Source organism: Homo sapiens, chromosome 4 (genome assembly GCF_000001405.40).
Source record: "Homo sapiens chromosome 4, GRCh38.p14 Primary Assembly".
NCBI lineage: Eukaryota > Metazoa > Chordata > Mammalia > Primates > Hominidae > Homo > Homo sapiens.
Genome location: NC_000004.12, coordinates 107,809,519 through 107,831,954, shown reverse-complemented (window position 1 = coordinate 107,831,954; position 22,436 = coordinate 107,809,519). Strand labels below are relative to the sequence as shown.

Here is a 22,436-nt window from a genome sequence, read left to right as displayed (position 1 = left end):
CAGAAGCCTAAGCTCTGTGAGGGACAGTACCAGTTGTGCTAGACTACCGCTACCAGCATCTGCTAAGAGGGCAGGCATATTGTGACTGTGGCTTGAAAAGCTTTTCAGCATTCACAGCTGATGTTATACACTTCTTATGAAAGTTCTTGAATTCAATGGCAGTGTACAACCAACTTCAATCATTTTATTTTAACCCCAAAGGAAACGGGGAGGGAAAAATATGGGACAGGCTCCAGCTCCTATTAGCACAGCCAAGATGTAACACTTGAATGTGGATATACCATTCCAAAAGATACATGCCACCTTAACGAGAAAGAATGGTTCCATTTGACACAACGGGACTGAACTCTTTGTTTTAAAAGTTAGAAGTGCAGCTTATATGCAGAAAATAATGATTGCTGAGCCCTTGAATATTTACCATGAAGCAGGCATTACTCTCAATGTTTTATACACAGGGAGCCATGTAATTCGTATAGTCACCTTATGGGGTAAATATTATTTTACTCCCATTATACAGCCAAGAAATGGAGGTTCACCTGTGGAAGCTGCTCCAGGGTATCTAGTGATGAGTGGCAGTGCTGTGACTCAGGTCCAAGCCGGCCTAAGCCTGTCAGGGTTCACCTCTGGCATAATTTCATGATCTTAAGGCAGCACGGACCACAGAAATGTTCCAGGAGAGCATACACATACAGTCCTATATCAAACTATGTCTCTCAAAACCCAACATATCGCTGAAGCTAGTGGAGACAAAACAGAAAGCCATGCAGGGTACTGGGAAGTGCATGGCATTAGAATCAGCTGGGCCTGGCCTCAACTCCCTGCTCTACTTCCCACCAGCTCTGTACCCTTGGCTACTTTAAGGGTACTTTTGCCTTGTTTCACCTTTAAACACTTTCCAAATTGCTTCCACACCTACAGAGTGGATATAATTTCCATTTTGCAGAGCTGTCTGAAGATGAAGATAGCAGTTCATTTAATCTTCACTAGTACTTATAGTATCATTATTTAACCACCACTATTTATCAACACTAACTCCATCTTCTGTGTTTGGAGAAGCTTGGAGAACCCACACAACTGACCTCTCTCTGTTTCAAAGACTGAACTTCACGTTCAACTAATGCTGCAAGTCTTCCTGAGTGGTCTCCACTTCTCTTTGGAAACAGGACTCTATCTAAGGTCTAATATCTAGAATCTATGAGGAACTTAAACATTTACAAGCAAAAAAAACCAACAACCCCATTAAAAAATGGGCAAACCCACAAACTGACTTCTCAAAAGACAACATACACACAGCCAACAAGCATAGGAAACAATGCTCAACATCATTAATTACTAGAGAAATGCAAATCAAAACCACAATAGATACCATCTCACACTAGTCAGAATGGCTATTATTAAAAAGTCAAAAAACATGCTGGCAAGGTTGCAGAGAAAAGGGAACACTTATATACTGCTGGTGGGAATGTAAATTGGCTCAGCTAATTACTGTGGAAAGCAGTTTAGAGATTTCTCAAAGAACTTAGAACAGAACTACCATTTGACCCAGCAATCCCATTACTAGATATAGACCCAAAAGAATAAAAATCATTCTACCATAAAGATACATGCACATGTATGTTCATCGCAGCTCTATTCACAATAGCAAACACATGGACTCAACCTAGATGCCCACCAACAGTGGACTGGATAAAGAAAACGTGGTACATACATACCATGGAATACTATGCAGTCATAAAAATGAATGAAATCATGTCCTTTGTGGCAACATGGATGTAGCTGGAGGCCATTATCCTAAGTGAATTAACACAGGAACAGAAAACCAAATACTGCATGTTCTCACTTATAAGTGGGAGCTAAACACTGAGCAGACATGGACCCTAAGAAGGGAACCACAGACACAGGGGCCTACTTGAGGGCAGAGGGTGGGAGGAGGGTGAAGACTGAAAAACTACCTATCAGGTACTATGCTATCTGAGTGACAAAATAATATGTACATCAAACCCCTGTGACACATAATTTACCCATGTAACAAACCTGCACACCCAAAATAAAAGCTGGAAGGAAAAATAAAGGAATTGCATGGCTGACAAGGGTGGCTCATGCCTGTTATTCACCACGTTGGAAGGCTGAGGTGGGAGGATCGCTTGAGTCCAGGCATTCAAGACCAGCCTGGGCAACATAGCAAGACTCTGTCTCAATTTAAAAAAATAAAAGAATAATAATATAAATAGTAAATGGGGTATAGTGAAAGGAAAGACTGTACATATAAAAGAAATAATTCAGTTAGTTGCACAAGTTTAGTTTGAAAGCTTTAAGCGAGATATCAATTTAAATAAACACAAACACAAAATTATAAGGCTGAATTTCAAATTGTATAGGGGTTTGTCAATAGAGGGGAAACCAATTATAAAATAACTCATTATCTGATTTGACTTTAATTCTATTAGCTATTTCTTTAAACTTTGCTTTGAATTACAAGTCATTGTTAGAAATTAATAAAGTGAACTGATCTGGGTATCTGTATGAAGTGGCTGAAATGAACACTACTCATATTCTAACATCCTTTATCAAAACCTTAAAGATAAATTAACACTGGAAATCAAAATAGAAAAGTGAATGAAAAACTAAAATTTTGACTCAGAGTAGCAAAGATGTGATATTATTGTAAAACTTGAGAATGTTTCAAGAAATGCTTTATATTTATAATAAAAATAAACTAATAGAAATTTCTCGCACTTTCATTAAATCAGCCCCAAAATGTCAAACAACAAATGTGTAATGTTTTAAAAAACAGGTGACCTATTTAAAATGGATGGAACTTATTCTAAAGGTAGTGATAAGTCTGCTAAATGCAACACCTGAAAGTATTTAATTCATCTGTCTCACTGGGTTCTAATGCTTCATCAAAGTGTAGAAGTAGAATGTCCTTCAGAGAGCTCCTTGGCAAAATTAGCACCTCTCCATTCTGCTATACTTCCCCAAAAAAGACATTTAGCTTCATGGCTAATAAAAATAACACACACAAACAGTACTTTAAGAAAGTTTGTATGTTCCCGTTTCAACAGATAAATTCCTTGCATAATGAGCTACTGCTCCACTGTGCGACTCCATAGAGAAGGTTGATCCTATTGCTGAAATCTTATGAGATATGCTAAAGGAACGCAGAAATTAAGACTCTGAAATTTTAAATTAAAGAGACAGGGAAAAGTTCTCTAATTCTGAATACAGTTTAGAAAAAAGGGCAGCTAAATTAAACATTATGTTTCACTTTTTAAAATGCAAAATAACTGAAATAATCAAGAATGTGTACACAGACATAGCTAGAAAGATTTAATGCAGAGCTGCTTAAAATAGTGAACACTGGCAACAAACTAAGTGTTCAGCGATAGGGGACTGGTTGAGACACAGCCACAAAACAGAAAACTAAAAATGATGCTGTGTAAGAGTATGTTAGTGACATACAGTTGTCCATGTTTGGATGAGGAGAGAAAACGTAAGTTGGAACATAGAGAATGAACCCATTTTTGTAGAGATAAATTTCAGCTGCTGCAACTTCAGGAAAGTTACTTAATTTCCCTAAAACAGTTGTATCCTCAGTAAAAGAAGGTAATAAGAGTACCTACCTCACCGGGTTGGAGTGGGGATTACAAGAGATTTGATGTATAAAGCAACTGTCACGTTGCCTGGCCCATAGTAAGATCAATACTCGTTAGCTGTTTGTGTTATCTGTGCATAGGGGCAAAATATAAAGAGGGGGCAGATAGAAATGTTAAATGATTTTCTGGGTGGTGAGATTATGGCTGATTTGTTTTGCCTATACTTATAAATTTCCATAAGTAACACATTACTTATAATATGGGGAAAACTAATAAGTTGGAATACTCATACAAGGATAATCCTCTTAAAAATCTACCATAGTGTTTTGTTCACAGCAAATAAATCTTTTTTTGTTTTGTTTTGTTTTGTTTTGAGACAGAGTCTAGCTCTGTCACCCAGGCTGGAGTGCAGTGACGCAATCTCAGCTCACTGCAACCTCCACCTCCCAGGTTCAAGCGATTCTCCTGCGTCAGCCTCCCGAGTATCTGGGACTACAGGCGAGCACCAACATGCCCGGCTAATTTTTCTATTTTTAGTAGAGATGGAGTTTTACCATATTGGCCAGGCTGCTCTTGAACTTCTGACGTCAAGTGATCTGCCTGCCTCGGCCTCCCAAAGTGCTGGAATTACAGGTGTGAGCCACTGCACCCAGCCACACAGCAAATATATCTCAGTTGAGCTGAGCTGACCCTTCAGATTTCATTTAAACAAGCTTGCTTTGAATATTTAAAATTATTTAAACTGAAGAGCTATCACTTGTCCGTAATATTTTACTGTGTAAAGCAAGGCATACTTTTATTATTCGGCCTCATAAAGAATTTACGAGCCCCTATTCAAGACCATTCAGAATGCCACCAGATCTCTTATTATCAGTGGGAGGCAGCCTATGACGGCCTAATCACTTCTTGTCTCTTCCCAAGTCCCCAGCACTCTCCTTTTTTGACTCCTTTTTTCCCCTCTTGATAATCACAGCCTGAGGTCTCTACTGGACTATAAGCTTTGGGGTAGCAACTATCTCCTTCGTTTGCATTGCTGGCCCCTAGCACAGTGGCTGTTATGTAGTTGTTGCATACTAAACGTTAAGCAAATAAATATCTGATACTAGTAGTTCAAGACAAAGCCTTCAATTTCTCCATTGAGACAACACGCTAAAGGTGGGTAAGTCATTGTTTAGTCTAAAACTGTCCAAAACTCTCAGTAATTATTCCTTTAAAAAAGAAACATCTCACCTCAAAGCATCACTTTTAAAAAAAGTTCTCACTGATACTCCATTGTCTATTTTAATAGTTCTAAGATTATTTCTATTTTTCCCCTATATTTTGTTTAAAGTCCCACAAAAATCCCAAAGAGTTTAAGTAAACTTGCTCAAAGGAACACAGCTCAGAGAGCCTCAGGTCTCCTGGATTCCCATGTCCATGATCTCACTACACGGTACTGTCGTAGGACAGCTCCCAGATCTTTCACCCTGTAAGTTGTTATAGTTATGGTAAGAGCAAATGTCTTCAATAACGTGCACAAGTGCTAAAGTTTCTTCCAAACATTTCCTAGGGCTTTTATGAGATTCTGCGAGGGGAGAAACTCAGAACAAGGTGCAGCCACCTCAAGGTGTCCAAGTGTTTCCCTCTAGGTTCACAAGTCAACTAGCTTTACTTAAAAATGAAACCAAAGGAACCAAATTAAACATTAACTTGTTAAAAAAAAAAACACTTCAACCAGACTATTGTGAAGTAAGAACATTAGAAGACCAAGGAAAGGGCCATAAAGAGGAAATTTTGCACTGCTTGCACTGCTTCTTTAGGAAAAAAAAAAGGTAAAGGTAAAGTTAGCTTCCTCACGTCCTTTCTTCCTGTAAATTCCAGGTTGTCACTTTCAGCCATTGCTCTGACATTGTTTAAACAGTAAATGGCAGTTCCCATGACACAGGATGGAAACCATAACCTTCTCAGGTATCCGTACTAAAAATGTTTAACTTGCTGAAAACATCACTTCCCAATCTAAGGAACTTGCCAAAGGATTTCACATGCTAACCCTCGGCCCACCAGGCTTATAAGGAGGACATTCTGTGGAAATTAATTGGTTATTACCTAAGCCAGCTGCAACACACTATTATTTATATATAAACAGCTATAATTTGTTGGGGTCTGCTTTGTACCAGACATTATGAGAAGTCTTTTGCGCTTTAATCCTCATTATTATCCTCATTATTAATCCTTATTTAATCCACCTTATTATCTGAAGTAGCTATAATCCCATTTTACTGGTTCAGAATGTTTAATGTGCCTGAGCACCCACCGTTAATAGAGGAGACTGGTAATGAAACCAAGGATTTGAAAAGTTAGGTACAGATTGAAAACCCACGCCGAATCCAGTGACACTAAACAGTTGAATCTCTTCAAAATATAACACACATGTCAAAATGATTTTAAGGTCATTTCAGAGCAGGCAAGACTTGAAATAGAGGACCGGCAACATTAATAAATAAAAAAGACTACAGGACATAACATTTTGAGTTGGTTTCAAGCCGTGGATAATTAATGATTATCCATACCTCTGGATGGATGTTGACAGGGGTTCCCCGCCCCTTATTTTCGCTGAGAAACCAAGTCTTCCCTTCCGTAAAGGGAGCAGCTCTGGAATGCCACACGTTGAAGGGTTTCGGTGTGGGCTGCCCAGAGCTGGGCTGTTACTGTTCACACATCATCAGTAAGTGCCTCTCAAAAAAAAAAAAAAAAAAAAAGAGAAAGAAAAGAAAAACCACACACACAAACACACACACACAGTCCCTCCTCCACCAACTGAACTTCAGCCCTGACCTCCGGAGTGGTTCTGGACAATCTGGGGTTTAACCTGTGCCCTTCCAACGCCAGGACCGGGGTACCCGAAATGGGTTGCAAATGAATGAGATGACTGCTCAGAGGAAGGAGACTAAGGCACACATCTCTCCTCCAGACCACAAAATCGAGGAAGCATGCCCTGGGCGGGGAGGGTGGGGGCCGGATTAGAGCCACGTCCCCGCTTCGCAATCCACCTTTCCCCTCCCGCGCTTCGGAGGACTCTCCGCTCCCCAGCCCATCCTCCTCCTGGCCCCTCCGCGCGCTCCTTACCCGCTGGTGGCCAGGGCTCCAGACACTCCCAGCTGAAGGCACTTGCTCCCGGGAAGGGGATTTGCCAGGGGATGGAGCCCGCTGCCGCAGCCGCCGCGACCAGCCCCGGGCGTCACCACCCTCGGGCCGAAGCCGCTAGAAAGTTTGCTCGGGGTCTCGCCCTCCCACGCCGCGGCCTGACTAGGGGAAGCAGCTCTCCGGGTCCCTCCCGCGGCCGCCGCCCCCGAGGCCGCACTCGGCGGCGCTGCAGCACCGGCCAGGCTCCGTGCGCGCCGAGGGCTGGGTCTCCCCGCCCCACTCGGCCCACGGCGCGGCGCTCAGTGTTGACCGCGGCCCCGCGCCCGCTCTCCCCGCCCGCCGCGCGCGGCCCGCTCCCTGCGCCCTGCGCCCAGCGCGCTCTTGACATCATTCATTCTCTCACACCCTCGCCCGCCCACTCCATTTCCAAACAGTGACTCACCCGTCGGCCCGGTGGCAGCAGTGCCCGTTCCTGCTGCCGTGGCTCTCCTGGCGCAGAGTGGAGCTCGAAAAACCTGCGCGACTTCTTAAGAAGAAAATCCCAGCCGACTCTCCCCTCGCGGCTGTTTAAGGTGCAGAGAAGGAGGGGCTTGGCAGGCAGGGCAGTTTGGCTCCCGGCCGAAAGGCTGAGGGCCTGGAGCTGACCTCCCTGAGCGGCAACAGAGATCAATCTGGGAAAGTTCTTTGGGTGCCACTCCCAGCAACTTTCAGGGGTGGGGCTGGAACGGGATCCCCCACCCCCGCACCCGGCCTGTTTCGGAAACTGCTTCCTGACGGCGTGTGAGTGGGCTTGGGAGCGCCAGCGTTGATTCAGAGGGTTTATCGGTGTTGACCGGGCCTAGGTCAAAGAGGTGGGTTTCCAAACCTCACAGCGTTGCCTGGCAAGGTTAGTCATCAGTCCGCATGGTATGAGCTGGAAGGTTGCTCCAAGCTAATGAGGTGGCAGCACTGTCCCTTTCGTGCCTAACCATCGTGTCATTTGTCCTGTTAATTGATTTACTTCTCACTTAAGGAATCGTAACCAAAATAAACAGTGTAAGTAGTTATTTGCTTAACTGAATACTGCGCTTTTCCGCAGCTTTTGGGGCCCAAGGCAGCCGTGTGGTTTCTTCGAAGGCCTCAGTAGTTTTTTAAAAGGGGGATTGCTGTCTTTAAAATGGTAATGGTTCTACATTGTCCTGGAGTTGCTATTCATACACCTGCTGGGCAGTTTTCAAAGTAAACGATGGCAGCCTCAAGGACTCTAACTAGGAATGACCAATCCGAGGGAATGTGGCTAAATCTTTCTTGACATAAGTTTTACATTAATGTCTCCTTCTGGACAAGATAATTATGTTTAGGATTTGCGCTGGTTTATGGGTGCTTCCATATAATCAACAAAAATAATGACGGGAATCTTTGGGTTTCTAGTGCAGATATCATGTGGGTCAACAGTCATTTGTGGCTATTAAAGATGATGGTAACAGAAAAGAATATACAAGGCAGGCAATCCCCAAACTCGCAACTTCAAGATGTCGTCACAGTACAGGCAACCAAAGAAAATGGACAAATGGGATCATATTAAGCTAAAAAGCTTCTGCACAGCAAAGGAAACAAACTGAAGAGACAACCCACAGAATGGGAACTATCCATCTGACAAGGGATTAATAACCAGAATATATGAGGAGCTCCAACAACTCTATAGGAAAAAAAAATCTAATAGTCCGAGTAATAAATGGGCAAAAGATTTGAATAGACATTTCTCAAAAGAAGACATACAAATAGCAAACAGGTATATGAAAAGGTGCTCAGGCAATAAATACTGGCGAGGTTGTGGAAAAAAAAAGGAACCCTTGTGTTTGTGGGAATGTAAAAAGTATAACCACTATGGAGAACAGTATGGAAGTTCCTCATAAAACTAAAAATAGAGATACCGTATGACCTAGCAATCTCACTGCTAGGTATATATGCCCAAAAAAGGAAATCAGTGTATCAAAGAGATACCTGCACTCCTATGTTTATTGCAGCACTACTCACAATAGCCAAGGTTTGGAAGCAACCTAAGTGTCCATCAACAGATGAATGGATAAATCGTTACATATACCCATGGAGTACTATTCAGCCATAACAAAGAATGAGATCCTGGCATTTGCAACAACATAGATGGAACTAGAGGTCATTATGTTAAGTGAAATAAGCCAGGCACAGAAAGACAAATTTCACATGTTCTCACTTATTCATGGGAGCTAACATTTAAAACAATTGAACTCATGGAGACAGTAGAATGATGGTTACCAGAGGCTGGGAAGGGTAGGGGGGATGGGTAATGGGTAAAAAATATATATATAGTTAGATAGAATGAATAAGGTATAGTATTTGATAGCAAAACAGGGCAACTACAGGCAACAGTAATTGTGCATTTTAAAATAACTAAGAATATAATTGGTTTGTAACATAAAGAAAGGATAAATGTTTGAGATGGTAGATATCCCATTTACTCTGATGTGATTATTATGCATTATGTGCCTATATCAAAATATTGTGTGTACCCCATAAATATACCTACTATGTACCTACAAAAATTAAATTTAAAAAAATTTTTTTGAGATGGAGTCTTGCTCTGTCGCCTGGGCTGGAGTGCAGTGGCTTAATCTCAGCTCACTGCAACCTCCACCTCCTGGGTTCAAGCAATTCTCCTGCCTCAGCCTCCCGAGTAGCTGGGATTACAGGTGTGTGCCACCAACCCTGGCTAATTTTTGTATTTTTAGCAGAGACAGGGTCTCAACATGTTAGTCAGGCTGTTCTCGAACTCTTGACCTTGCGATCCACCCTTCTCGGCCTCGCAAAGTGCTGGGATTTACAGACATGAGCCACTGTGCCCGGTCCCCCCAAATTTTTAAAATATAAAACCAAAAAAAGATGTTGTCACAATACAGAAGTTTCCCCCAAATGAAAATGCTCCTAAAATTAACCAAGGGCTCAACATCATTGTTGTGGAAAATGGACTCTTTTAGAGCTACTTTTAAAGGTTAGAACCCAGAGGAGACCACCAATCGAAAGTTATTGTCCTGGGGTTTATTTTTCCCCTTCAATAAGGAGCTCATTTTCAAATTTACAAAGCCCAGGCATTTTGCCCAGAAGGCAATAGCAAATGGATTGGTTTGCTAGGATGCAGTCAAAATTCAAATCAGCAGTTTTTATAGACAATCACAGAGCTAATTCAGAAGCATGGGTGTCCTATCCATTGGTAACACTGAATGACTAGATTCAAATGTATAGCCATCTATAAGTAAGTTTGCGTGAATATCCCACCTACTCCCTACTTCATGATCCAAATATTTGGACATTATGGGATAAGTCTAAATACAATTTTCTACAGATCTCAATTGATATTGTGGGCTTTTTGGCCTGTGTACATGGATAAAGTCAAAAAGCTCCAAACAAAGCTTGCAGTTCTGCCTGCACTGTTGGCTGATATAAACCCTGTAGTTCCCTCATAAGCCTCTGTGTGGAAGGCTGTTGAATGGGTAGTTTTGAATTAGTGGTTACTATTGTGCCTCAGTTTAAATATTGTGAAATAAGTAATTAGGTCATTTTATTATACCATTTAAATATCCCCAAGTACATATATTAAATAATATAATTGATAATGGATGATACGAAGTTTTTTCAATCTATTCATTATCAACATATGAGAAAGCAAATTACTCATCTTAATTTCTATGTTTTAAGAAATAGTAACATCCTTTTCACAGAAAGATGATTTTTTTTTTGTTTTTTAACTGCACCTTTTGTTCTTACCATGTATGAAAAGTGACAAAATTTGCAATTCATCACCTTTCAAAAATAATGGCACTGAGTGTTTCAAGGGAGAGAAATGGATGATAGATAAGTGTGTTCTTGTCCATTGTTTTCTCCAAGGCAGCATAAATCAAGTTTTACAGGTATTTCTTTGATTTGATAAAACATACTGATTTAGGAAAACATGTAGATCTATAGTACTTATTTCCTCTTACAGTAACTCGAATCTGAACATATCTAAAGTCATTTGCTCAACCCACAAATTTGTATTGAATTCCTACTTTGTGCCCATGGCTGTTTATCTAAGAATCTCCATGGTCCGGGCACAGTGGCTCATGGCTATAATCCTAGCACTTTGGGAGGCCAAGGCAGGCAGATCACGTCAGGCCAGGAGTTCAAGACCAACCTGGCCAACATAGTGAAACCCCGTCTATACTAAAAATACAAAAAATTAGCCAGGCATGGTAGCACATGCCTGTAATCCCAGCTACTCAGGAGGCTGAGGCATGAAAATCGCTGGACCCTGGGAGGGGGAGTTTGCAATGAGCTAAGATCCTTTCACTGCACTCCAGCCTAGGCAACAGAGCGAGACTCTGTCTCAAAAGAAAATAAAAAAGAAAAAGAAAAAGAATCACCATGTTACCTTCTAAACGAACATATGTCTCAGGAATTGAAAGGTTTTTCTTTTTTTAATTTTGCATGAGGATGTTTATTGCAGGATTTGCAGATCAGTTGGGATATGAGGATGAAGCCAAAGATGACTTCTATATTTTTTTTGGTTTGAGCTCTTTGGTGGATGGTGGTGCCCTTTACCAAGACAGGGAGTGCTGAGACAGCAGCAGCTTTTGGGGGGCAAATGATGAGTTTCAAACTTGATGAGTTTGAGGTGTGAGATGTATAAATGAAAAGTGAGCAGCTGATGATACTAGTCTGGAACTCAGAAAAAGAGGCATGGACTGGAGATACAAATTTGAGAATAGCCAGCATGTAATAGTAAAGGATTCCACGGAAAATCAACCGAGATTGTCTGGAAATATTAGAGAGTGAGAAGATGTCCAAGGGAAAACCCATTATAGTTTAGGTAAAGTAGGAAAACATCGCAAATGAGGCTACAAATACAGGTCCAGAGAGAGAAGAAAACCAGGAGAATGTGGTGACAAGGAAGCCAACGAAAAGCCTCTTTTTGAGAAAGATGAGATGCCATTTATATCAAATGTTCCTGAGACAGCAAGTGAAATAGAGACTAGAAAATGTCCATTGGGTTTGGTGACATTGAGGTCTTTGTTGACCTTAACCAGAGGGAGTTTGCTTATGCTATGGAGATGTGGAATTCTGATTGAGTAGGGTGAGGAAGAGCTGGTTCAGCAGAGAACCTGTGAGTTGGCTTCCTGGACAGCTGGTCAGTAAAGGGTGCACACCTGGCACAGTGGCTTACACATGTAATCCCAACTCTTTGACAGGCTAAGGTGGAGGATTACTTGAGCCTAGCAGTTCGAGAACCCACCTTCCCATCTCTACAATTAAAAAAAAAATAGACAGGTATAGTGACACACACCTGTAGCCTTAGCTACTTAGGAGGCTGAGGTGGGAAGATCGCTTGAGCCCAGGAGATTGAGGCTGCAATGAGCTGTAATAGTGCCACTGCACTCCAGCCTGGGCAACAGTGCAAGACCGTGTCTCATAAATAAACAAGAGGGATGCTAAAGCATTCCCAGAATAAGTTTGTTAAAATATAATTTGGGTTGGTGAGAAATGAAGAGTGACTACTAATGGGTACAGGGTTTTCTCTAGACTGATGAAAATGTTCTAAAATTGATGGACCACTGATGGGAAGGAATCTGTAAAGGACATAAGGAAAGAGGTAATGGAGAGGTTAGTGAGGAGTTGAGGTTCATGAGAAGTCAGGAGGAAATAGCATCTGAACACAGATGGAAGTAATAGCCTGAAAGATTAGAGGGAACAACTCCTCCAAAACAACAAGGGAGAGGAAGGGAAAAGAAAAGCATGGGAGTGGTGCATCTGTGTTCATAGGCTGCTTGTACAAAGTTGAAAAGGTTCTTTTCACACCTGTAATCCCAGCACTTTGGGAGGCCAAGGTGGGCGGATGCTTGAGGCCAGGAATTCAAGACCAGCCTGGGCAACATGGTGAAAGCCCATGTCTACAAAAAACACAAAAATGAGCCAGGTATGGAACGAATGCCTACAGCTACTTGGGAGGCTGAGGTGGGAGGATGGCTGGAGTCGGGGAGATGGGGGTTGCAGTGAGCCAAGATTGTGCCACTATACTCCAGATTGGGTGACAGAACCAGACCCTGTCTCAAAAAAATAAAAGAAAAAGTTCCTTTTGATGCTTCAATTTTTCTGTTAGGAGACATGGGTCAGTTTTCGATTGCTGCTATACCAAATGAATGACAAATTTACCAGCCTAAACCAACACCAATGTATTATCTCACAGTTCTGCAAGTCAGAAGTTCTATAGACTTCTCTGCTGGTTTCTCTTTTCTGAGTTTCATGAGGCTGACATCAAGGTGTTGGCCAGTTGGGCTCTCATTAGGGGACTCTGGCAAGCTTCCAAACTCATTCAAGTTGTTAGCAGAATCTAGTTGCTTCCAGGTGCAGGACGAAGGTTTCTAATATCTTGCCGGCTCTCAACTGGGGACCACTCTTAGCTCCTAGAGGCATCTGTTCCAGATCAGTGACAGTGTGTGGAATGCTCTCACACATGGAATGTTTCTGCCTTCTGCTTCAGCCACATCTTCCTGCCTGAGCTGGTGAACATTCTCCACTTTTAAGGGCTCATGTGATTAAATTGGGCCTACCTGGATAATCCAGTATACTATCACTGTGTTCAAGCCTACAATCCTAATTACATCTTCAAAGTCACTTTTGCCATGTAATATAATACATTCACAGGTTCCACAGATTAGGGTGTGCTCAACTTTGTGGGCCCATTCTGCTGACCACAAGGTGACATCATCAACTGAGAATAAGGAAGTAGAAAAAGTTCTAAAAACAATGGAAACAGTTTGAAGTAACCATTCTGGAAAGTAAGAACAAGAACTTTGTAAAATTGACAGGTGGCACCAAAGGCTGAATCGAAGTCAGCACTATAGATTACTATACTCTTGTATAATCAGGTATAATCTTGGTATTAACTAAGTGGCTGTCTCTAGTAGCACTCAGCCACCTGGGCATAAGCACAGAGAATGGAGCTGGTGGTTGGAATCGATAGACCAAAAAAGAAAAAGCCTAGGATGGCATCAATGAAACCATGGACTAGGAAATAAAAGATGGTCAGGGAGACAAGCAAATAGAGGAGGAGGCTAATGAATAAGGGAAAAGTGAAAGGATCAATGGCCTAGGGTTTCCAAGGACATTGCAAAACATATGGACCAGGGGTAACAGATGGAAGAATTTGGAAACGTAAGAGGTCAGGTGGTGAGATTTCTAATTTTTAAAAAATATTTAATTGACAAGTGAAGATATTCAAAGTATACAATGTGATTTGATATATGTATACATTGTGTAATGATGATCACAACACATTTGACACCACTCATGTTGTACATTAGATACCCAGAACTTGCTCATCTTACAACTAAAAGTATGTACACTTTGATCAACATCTCCCCCATTTCCTCCTCCCCCAGGCCCCAGCAACCACCATTCTACTCTGTTTCTATGACTTTGACTTATTTATTTATTTATTTTACTTTTTTGAGACAGAGTCTCGCTCTGTTGTCCAGGCTGGAGTGCAGTGGCACAATCTCTGCTCACTGCAACCCCTGCCTCCCAGGTACAAACGATTCTTGTGTTTCAGCCTCCCGAGTAGCTGGGATTACAGGAGCAACACCACGCCCAGCTAACTTTATATTATTAGTAGAGATGGGGTTTCGCCATGTTGGCCAGGCTGGTCTCAAACTCCTGACCTCAAGTGATCCACCCGCCCTGGCCTTGCAAAGTGCTGGATTACAGGCATGAGCCATCGCACCCAGCCAGTTTGATTTTTTTTTAGATTCCATAGGGAGAAAAGAACTGTTATCTGAGAATGCTAGTTCTTTTAATTATCAGGTGCAGAAAAACCTTAAAGTGAACCCACAGTGATGTCTCACTCCCCACTTTGAGCTATGTATTCATGTTTTGAAACTTCTTGCTATTGCCACAAGTAGCTATAAATTAGCCTAATAATGTCACACTGGACACTATAACTCACACCCTATAGCTTAACAATGTTTAGCCAATCACTAATCACTATTATTTCTGTAACAATAAGCCAATGAGAATTTCTGACAAACAACTGTGTATGAGTCCCCTTTTTTGCCTTTAAAAATCCACTTGTAACTGCTGCTAATTGGAGTGTATATTCAGGGCAACTTGAATCTGTGCTCCTGAGTTGCAATTCTCAAGCTTGGCCCAAATAAACTCTCCACTTATATTAATTTTGCCTCAACTTCTTCCTTTTAGGTTGGCACTGCTATGAGGATCCCTGCCTTTTCCCTTTTCCTCCCTCAGGACCCAAAGACCACTAACCTGTGCTTAGATGTATGTGATAATGAATGACAAATCATGATGAATATTATGGAAACAGGTAGGAGAAAAACAGTTAAAAAGTACTGAGCAGCTCTTGGGGAAGAGAGAGAGAGATTTCAGTAGGGGTAGAGCTAGGGCCACTCTGCTGATCAAGAAGAGGAAGCCATGGGGTCTGCTGGGATAATATACAGCTGTGGATGGAGTAGGGGTGGTTAGGGAGTAAACTGATAGGGCTAGAGAAAACAGTATAAATATCCATCACTCAGGGGAATCTGGTTGAAACATAATGCTTGAACCAGAAGTAAGGCTGGTCTAACCTGTGGAATTCTATGTGTGTGCTTGACTGGCTAACATTGCTTTGTTTTTACTGTATGACCTTCACTTCCATCATCAAGGGGTAAGTGTTGGGGCCATATAGGACCTGGCAGATATAGGCGGAGAGTCTTCTGGAGAGTACTGGGAACACACGCCTTGGAAAATTCAGCAGCAGCAAAGGAAAGGAGTTCTGTACATTGACAACGATTTGATTCCCAGGGGGACTGGCCTAGTGCAGCATTGCCTGAACTTGCAAGTTTCCTAAGGATCATCACCATGTGGGATTCACCCATGATTTAATGAACCCTCAGGGGAGGGATTCTAGCCACTATTTCAAGTAAGTGCCTGAGATGATTTTTACGTTGAGAAAAATTTGGAAATTTTTAGGCTAAGGTGATAATCCTCAATTTTTTTGCTATGCAGTAGATGCAAATTACATACTATCTAAAGAAATATTAGCTATAATGTTCATCAGGGATGATGCCATCTTTTTGGAAGGGGCTATCAAAATTATAAGACTGTCTGGGGTTGGATAAGAGAGAGAAGGGAAGGGAAGACAGAGGTGACTTAAATTGTTTGAAAAGCTTCTCCAGGGAGACTGAGGCCTCTTCTCAGTGGCCTCAATAGAAAGAAGAGGCCTTAGGTCGGATGTGGTGGCTCACACCTGTAATCCCAGCACTTTGGGAGGCCAAGGAGGGTGGATCACCTGAGGTCAGGAATTCAAGACCAGCCTGGACAACATGGTGAAACCCCACCTCTACTAAAAATACAAAAAATTAGCCAGGCATGGTGGCGGGCACCTGTAATCTCAGCTGCTGGGGAGGCTGAGGTGGGAGAATCACTTGAACCCAGGAGGCGGAGGTTGCAGTGAGCCTGATCGTGCCACTGCACTCCAGCCTGGGCAACAGAGCAAGACCCTGTCTCAAAAAAAAAGAAAAAGAAAGACGAGGCCTCACCATCCCATTCCCAATCTCCTTCATTGTTTGTCAGTCACCAGCCTAGACTAGTCTAGAGGAAGGGAATTTACTAACAAGCTTAATAGTTATATTCCGGTTTTGAGAGTGTTCTGTGACTATAATTCTTGTAAGTCAGTCACTAGAAGGCTAGTCACCTTAGTGTTTTAGCAATATTGAATGTCAAGCCTACCAAACTAAAGACCAGACTCTTAACAGACTGGTGCCCACACCAGGAAAGTGACTCCCTGTAGGATACATCTGGACAGCCTGCTAGCCTTCTAGACCACACATGTCTTTATCGACTGCCTCTCCAGTGGTTTCCCCTGGCTCTATTCCAGTGAGAAGTACACATACATCCTCCTCTCCACAGTTTATTGGGGCACTACATATGATTAAATCACCTTACTCCAACTTGCCCTTCCTAAAAGTACTTCAATTGCAAGTTAAAACAGACTTTTTTTCTAATTAAGAGTGTAAAAAAAAAGTGATATTGCCAGAGGACATGCTAACTTCATGCAGACCTGACTTTTCAGCAGTTAACTCAAGCTGAATTGTCTAACGAGAAATATACAAAGTCTGCTTGATTATCCAAACTTTTCTATAATGAAGGGAAGGTAATAATTGTGCAGTGCTGTATTTTCCTTATGAAAGTATCCAGTCAATGATCTCAAACATGAATAAATACTATGTCAATAATCTTTACAACTTCCTAGTAGTTTATATGGTATGATAAAGAGACTGAAAGAGGAGTAATAATAGACTGAAATCTTGACTTCTCCTCAGCCTCTTCAACTCTCCTAAGCTTAAGTGTGTTTTCAGATAGTAACCATTAAAGTATATATCATACATATGATCTATAAATTCAATGTGAAATAACACCTTGCATTTGTACTAATGGTGTTACTGAAAAGAATCCAGAGCGCTTACATATGCCATTAACTCATTTGTTATATTTTACAACACCCCCTTAAATAAAATTTCTATGACTTTTTAGTCCGCATTCAGTAATTAATATCAAATGTTTAAATATTCAAAAGAAAGTAATTGCCTATCATTATTTTTTTTAAAAAAACATTTCATATTTCTTTTTGGCCTTTCAAAATCCAATGTTTTCTACTGAATTTCCTGACATAATACCCCAGCCTCATAGACACACCCAACCTGATAGTCTTCATTCTCTCCTGCCCTTGCCCTGTTCTAGCAGGTTCACATAAATTAATCTCGTCTTTCTTTTAACCCTCTCTTCCTCTCATGTGGTTTAATATATTACGTTTACTTTTCTTCTGATTAAATTTGAAGGAGGAATTTACCTTATTTTTGTGGCATATATTCCAGGTTTCACTATTAGCAACTTGTTGCTATTCAATAAATACATTTAATTAAGTGTCCTTTTCACCCATTTCAAACCCATTTAACCCATAAACATTTATCAAGTACTTATTGTATGCTGAGTTTTATTTATTATTTTTATTTTTAATTTTTTTTAATTTTTTATTTTTTGAGACAGGGTCTCACTCTGTCACCCAGGCTGGAGTGCAGTGGCACAATCACAGCTCACCACAGCCTCGATTTCCTAGGCTCAGGTGCCCCTTCCACCTCATCCTCCTGCATAGCTAGGACTATAGGTGCCTGTCAACACACCCAGCTAATTTTCGTATTTTTTTGTAGAGACAAAATTTCTCCATGTTGCCCAGACTCGTCTCAAACGCCTGGGCTCAAGCAATCTACTCACCTCGGCCATACTTTCCAAAGTGCTAGGATTACAGGCATGAGCCACCATGCCTAGCCTGAGTTTTATAAAAGAGACAAAAGAGTAGCATATATTCCTAGTTTCAAAGTGTTCTCAGGCCGGGTATTATACCAGCACTTTGGGAGGCCAAGGCAGGAGGATCTCTTGAGGCCAGGAGTTCTGGACCAGCTTGGGTGACATAGTGAGACCCCGTCTCTAAAAAAAATTAAAAAGTTAGCCAGGCATGGTGGCGGGCACCTGTAGTCCCAGCTACTCAGGAGGTGGGAGGATCACTTGAACTCGGGAGTTCAAGGCTGCAGTGAGCCTGGATTGCACAACACTCCAGCCTGAGCAACAAACAGAGTTCTCAAAAAAAAAAAAAAAAAAAGTTTTTTTTTTTCCTCAATACGGTTGGGAAAAATAAGATAAACACTTAGAATTATATTCATCATAATGTAATCATATTTCACCTGGAAGTAAATTAAAATTTATTTTCATACGTTTTCAACCCAACTTATGGGCGACATGCCAATCCACTTAGAACTGGTTTTAACTGTTTCTGGCAGTGCCAACAAGCTAGCTTCTGGCCTCCCACTGCCCCTCCTACATGCTAAGTAATTTAAGTTGTAGATAACTACATAAATAGAAAAAGTTAACAGAAAAACCTAGAATAATAATAGTAATTATATTCACTGAAATGCAGAAGCATAGGCATATAGCTATACATGTACTCATATAGTTAGGATCTTGGCAAGGAAAAGATGCATACTCAAAGAGTTTAACAAAAAAGACCTTAATGAAGGGACTGTTTATAAAGGGTGTAGCAGAGAGGCCAGCACAAAGATACAATAAAAAATGATGAAAAACCCAGTGTCTACTGGGAAGTCATTACCACCTGTAAGCTGTAAGGGGAAGGAAAAATGTTTCCAGAGCCAACAAGAGCTGGAATTATGGAAGAAGGATTGTCTGAGGGGAGCTGCTGGGCGAGAGCTGTGGCCTTAGGTGGAGGACTGTAGCTGCTCAGAACTGCAGCAAAAGAGGGAGAGAGTGAGAGGTGCAATTATCCCGATCTCTCCTCCTACTCTCAGATTTCTTCCTGGTATCTCCTACTGATGGACCCCCGATCAGAAGCTGAAGGGTGAGGACACCCAGGCGATGCAGTCAGCGTCCAGGCGTAGAGAACAGGGCTGAGAAGGGTGGAGAATGGATCTGGAGGAGGAAATGATGAGTAGCCAGCACAACTCCCTAAAGCAGTAAATTCCAGCATCCCCAGCCCAGTTTGGGATAGGAATAATAGGACAAATGGAAGAGACCATAATCTCAGAATTTCACTTAGCCAGTTACTCTGTCAGGCCACCTCCCACTATATCTACCAACTGCTATACAGTTTAGATATATAGTTGTATGCCAAGCTGTTAACATTCTATCCTCTCTTATTTTAGTGGAAAATGCTCTTTTCTCAGGCCAAACCTTAACCTCTACAGTAAGGGCCAATAAGGAGAAAAGGAATCTATGTAAAGGTAAAGTGAACAGGTTTTCCCTGGACAATCCCAAGTTAAAACATACACACGTGGCCGGGTGCAGTGGCTCGTGCCTATAATCCCAGCACTTTGGGAGGCCGAGGCAGGCAGATCATGAGGTCAAGAGTTTGAGACCAGCCTGGCCAATATGGTGACACCCCATCTTTACTAAAAATAGAAAAATTAGCCAGGTGTGGTGGTGCGTGCCTGTAGTCCCAGCTACTCGGGAGGCTGAGGGAGAAGAATCGCTTGAACCCAGGAGGTGGAGGTTGCAGTGAGCCGAGATCGCACCACTGCACTCCAGCCTGGGCGACAGAGCGAGACTCCATCTCAAAACACACACACACACACACACACACACACACAATAATCATGTTAAGGTTTCTAATGCAAAAACTCCTTGAATGGCCTCTCCTCAGAAACATGCAGATAATCTATGCTCAGGATCTTAATTACTTACAATTAATTTGTGAGACCATTATAGGGCTACAGTGATATACAAGTAATTCTTTTTTTTTTTCTGAGATAGAGTCTTTCTCTGTTGCCCAGGCTGGAGTGCAGTGGTGTGATCTCGGTTCACTGCAACCTCTGCCTCCCAGGCTCAAGTGATTCTCCTGCCTCAGCCTCCCAAGTAGCTGGGATTATAGGTACCCACCACAATGCCTGGCTAATTTTTGTATTTTTTAGTAGAGACGGGGTTTCACCATGTTGGCCACGCTGGTTTCTAACTCCTGACCCCAAATGATCCATGTGCCTTGGCCTCCCAAAGTGCTGGGATTACTGGTGTGCGCTACCACGCCCAACCTACAAGTAATTCTTGAGTGTCACCATTTACCCATTGCTTAGCCAAATTAAGACTCTGAGGCCCTTTGCCTGTAGTAATGACTATCTCTGGCCACCTAATCTGAGCATGGATTCCAAGGCATTGCCTGTTGATGGCAGAGTTCTCTCAAATGATTTAATTTACGAGACAGTGAAAGGAAAGTAGCCTTCTCTTATTCTCACCTACTTTCTGGCTTCCAATTCCACATTATCTTGACCAACCTGTGACAACTTTAACTAAAGAATTTTCACAATCAATAAACTCTGCTATAGAGCAGATGAGGACAGAGAAGCAGATGTGGGGCTTGTCAATGGGGGCCACTAGTGTCCCTCGCCAGAGCAGCTCAGTGGAGCAGACCTTCCCACCTCATATGCCAAGGCAGGCTGGTAAGTCATGAATGATTACAGGTGAGCTCAAGATAAGCCCCTTCAGTTTCTGACATGGCCAGGAGCAGCTAAAGTTACCTTGTTTGTTGTCCTCAGATGCTGAATAAACATAATAATTTTCTTTGGGTGTCATGACATGGAATAATTGGGAAGAAGTCCTACAGAGTAATAGCATTGGAAATCAAGTTGCAAATATGAAGGAATAAGTGGAAAAAAGGAGGCTGTGGCCACAAGTATAGGGATTTCTTTCAAGATATAGGTCAGTGAGTGGAGAGAGAGGAAACGGAGTGATTCAAAGCAGATTCAGCAGGCAGATGCTTGAGCACATTTGTAGAGAGTAGAGAAGAGAGAAAGAAATGAAAAATACAAGTGAGAAAAAAGGTATAGTGTTAATGTTGAGAGGAAGATCACTGAAGGAGTTTACTACCATGTCTGTGATTTTCTTTGTTAAATAAGAGGTTGAATTATCAGCTTAGAGAGGCAGGATCTTGATGGGGGCTTAAGAGAGAGATAAAGATTTGAAATATCTACTAACAGAAATGAGAAAGGGAGTTGGCAAAATATAAGTAAAATTTTTCCAGCGTTGAAAGCCAAGCTGATAATGGAGCTCATACATTTGTAATGCAGCTAATCAGCAGAGTCACATGTTTAACACAGCTGTGCCAGGACACCTGGGAGCTTGAGTCCAGTCAGTGGTTTGATGGTTTCATTTAAGACCAAAACCTGAAGGAGCAACTATAGTAAGAGAACAAGCTGGCAAGATAATTGAGGCAGCTGGCCAGGCACGGTGGCTCACGCCTGTAATCCCAGCACTCTGGGAGACCGAGGCAGAGGATCATTTGAGGTCAGGAATTCACAACCAGCCTGAACAACATGGTGAAACCCCATCTCTACTAAAAATACAAAAAAATTAGCCAGGTGTGGTGGCGTATGCCTGTAGTCCCAGCTACTAGGGAGGCTGAGGCAGGAGAATTGCTTGAACATGGGAGGTGGAGGTTGCAGTGGGCCGAGATCGTGCCACTGCACTCCAGCCTGGGTGACAGAGCAAGACTCTGTATCAAAAACAAAAACAAACAAAAAAAAAAAATTCAGGCAGCTGATAATAAGAAGAGGAATAGAATTTGAGCTTGTTAGAATATGGACTCTTCCTTAGTTGTCTTTTTATTTATATATCTTCAGCACCTGGATCAGTACCTGCTTTCCTTAATCTTACCTGTGGATTAGAATCACCTGGAGAGCTTTAACAATTCTTATACCTAAGCTGCACCATGAACCAATTATATTAGAATCTCTAGGTGGGGACTACTCACAGTGTGTGTGTGTTAAGCTCTACGAATGGTTCCAGTGTACAACCAGGTTGAGAACAACTGGTCTAGAACAATGGTATAAAGTAGAAACCTAATAAATTTAATTCAGTGAGGGGAGAGAATTCAGGTTAGACTACAAAGTCCATGAAGGGGAGGAGGAAACTGGGGGGTTTGGGAAAGGGATAAGGACCGAGTCTCCATGTGAACTTGAAGTGTAGATTTGAGGACATTGTTGTCAGAGAGAGAGAGAGAGAGAGAGAGAGAGAGAGAAAGAAAGAGGGAGATTTACAAGTTTATTGTTTTGGACTGGACACAGTTCCAAGTAATGATACGATTTAATCTAGTAGTGACCAAAGGTCTTTTTGGCACTA

General features: G+C 41.9%; 1 protein-coding gene across 16 annotated transcripts in view, besides 1 other annotated feature; it reads right to left on the bottom strand.

Annotated features, from left to right (window-relative positions):
* The window catches only part of SGMS2 (sphingomyelin synthase 2), a 90,485-nt gene extending 83,093 nt beyond the window's left edge, over positions 1-7,392 (bottom strand). For 6 of the 16 annotated variants that reach the window (NM_001375907.1, XM_047449716.1, XM_047449715.1 and 3 more), the window contains exon 1: positions 6,702-7,023. The gene's annotated coding sequence lies outside the window, so the exon portion shown is untranslated. Of the gene's footprint in view, positions 1-3,623; positions 3,727-6,145; positions 6,284-6,701; positions 7,024-7,161 lie in introns of those variants that run through there. The other 10 variants (NM_001375908.1, XM_047449719.1, XM_047449714.1 and 7 more) reach the window with 5 other exon arrangements.
* Positions 3,606-4,805: an enhancer, noted in NCBI's record as "BRD4-independent group 4 enhancer chr4:108748306-108749505 (GRCh37/hg19 assembly coordinates)". NCBI's record gives its function as "activates an origin of replication core promoter dependent on BRD2, P300/CBP, MED14 and CDK7 cofactors, and independent of BRD4, by STARR-seq in HCT116 cells {active_cell/tissue: HCT116}" and the evidence as "EXISTENCE:reporter gene assay evidence [ECO:0000049][PMID:35650434]".
* Positions 7,393-22,436: the final 15,044 nt, after the last annotated feature.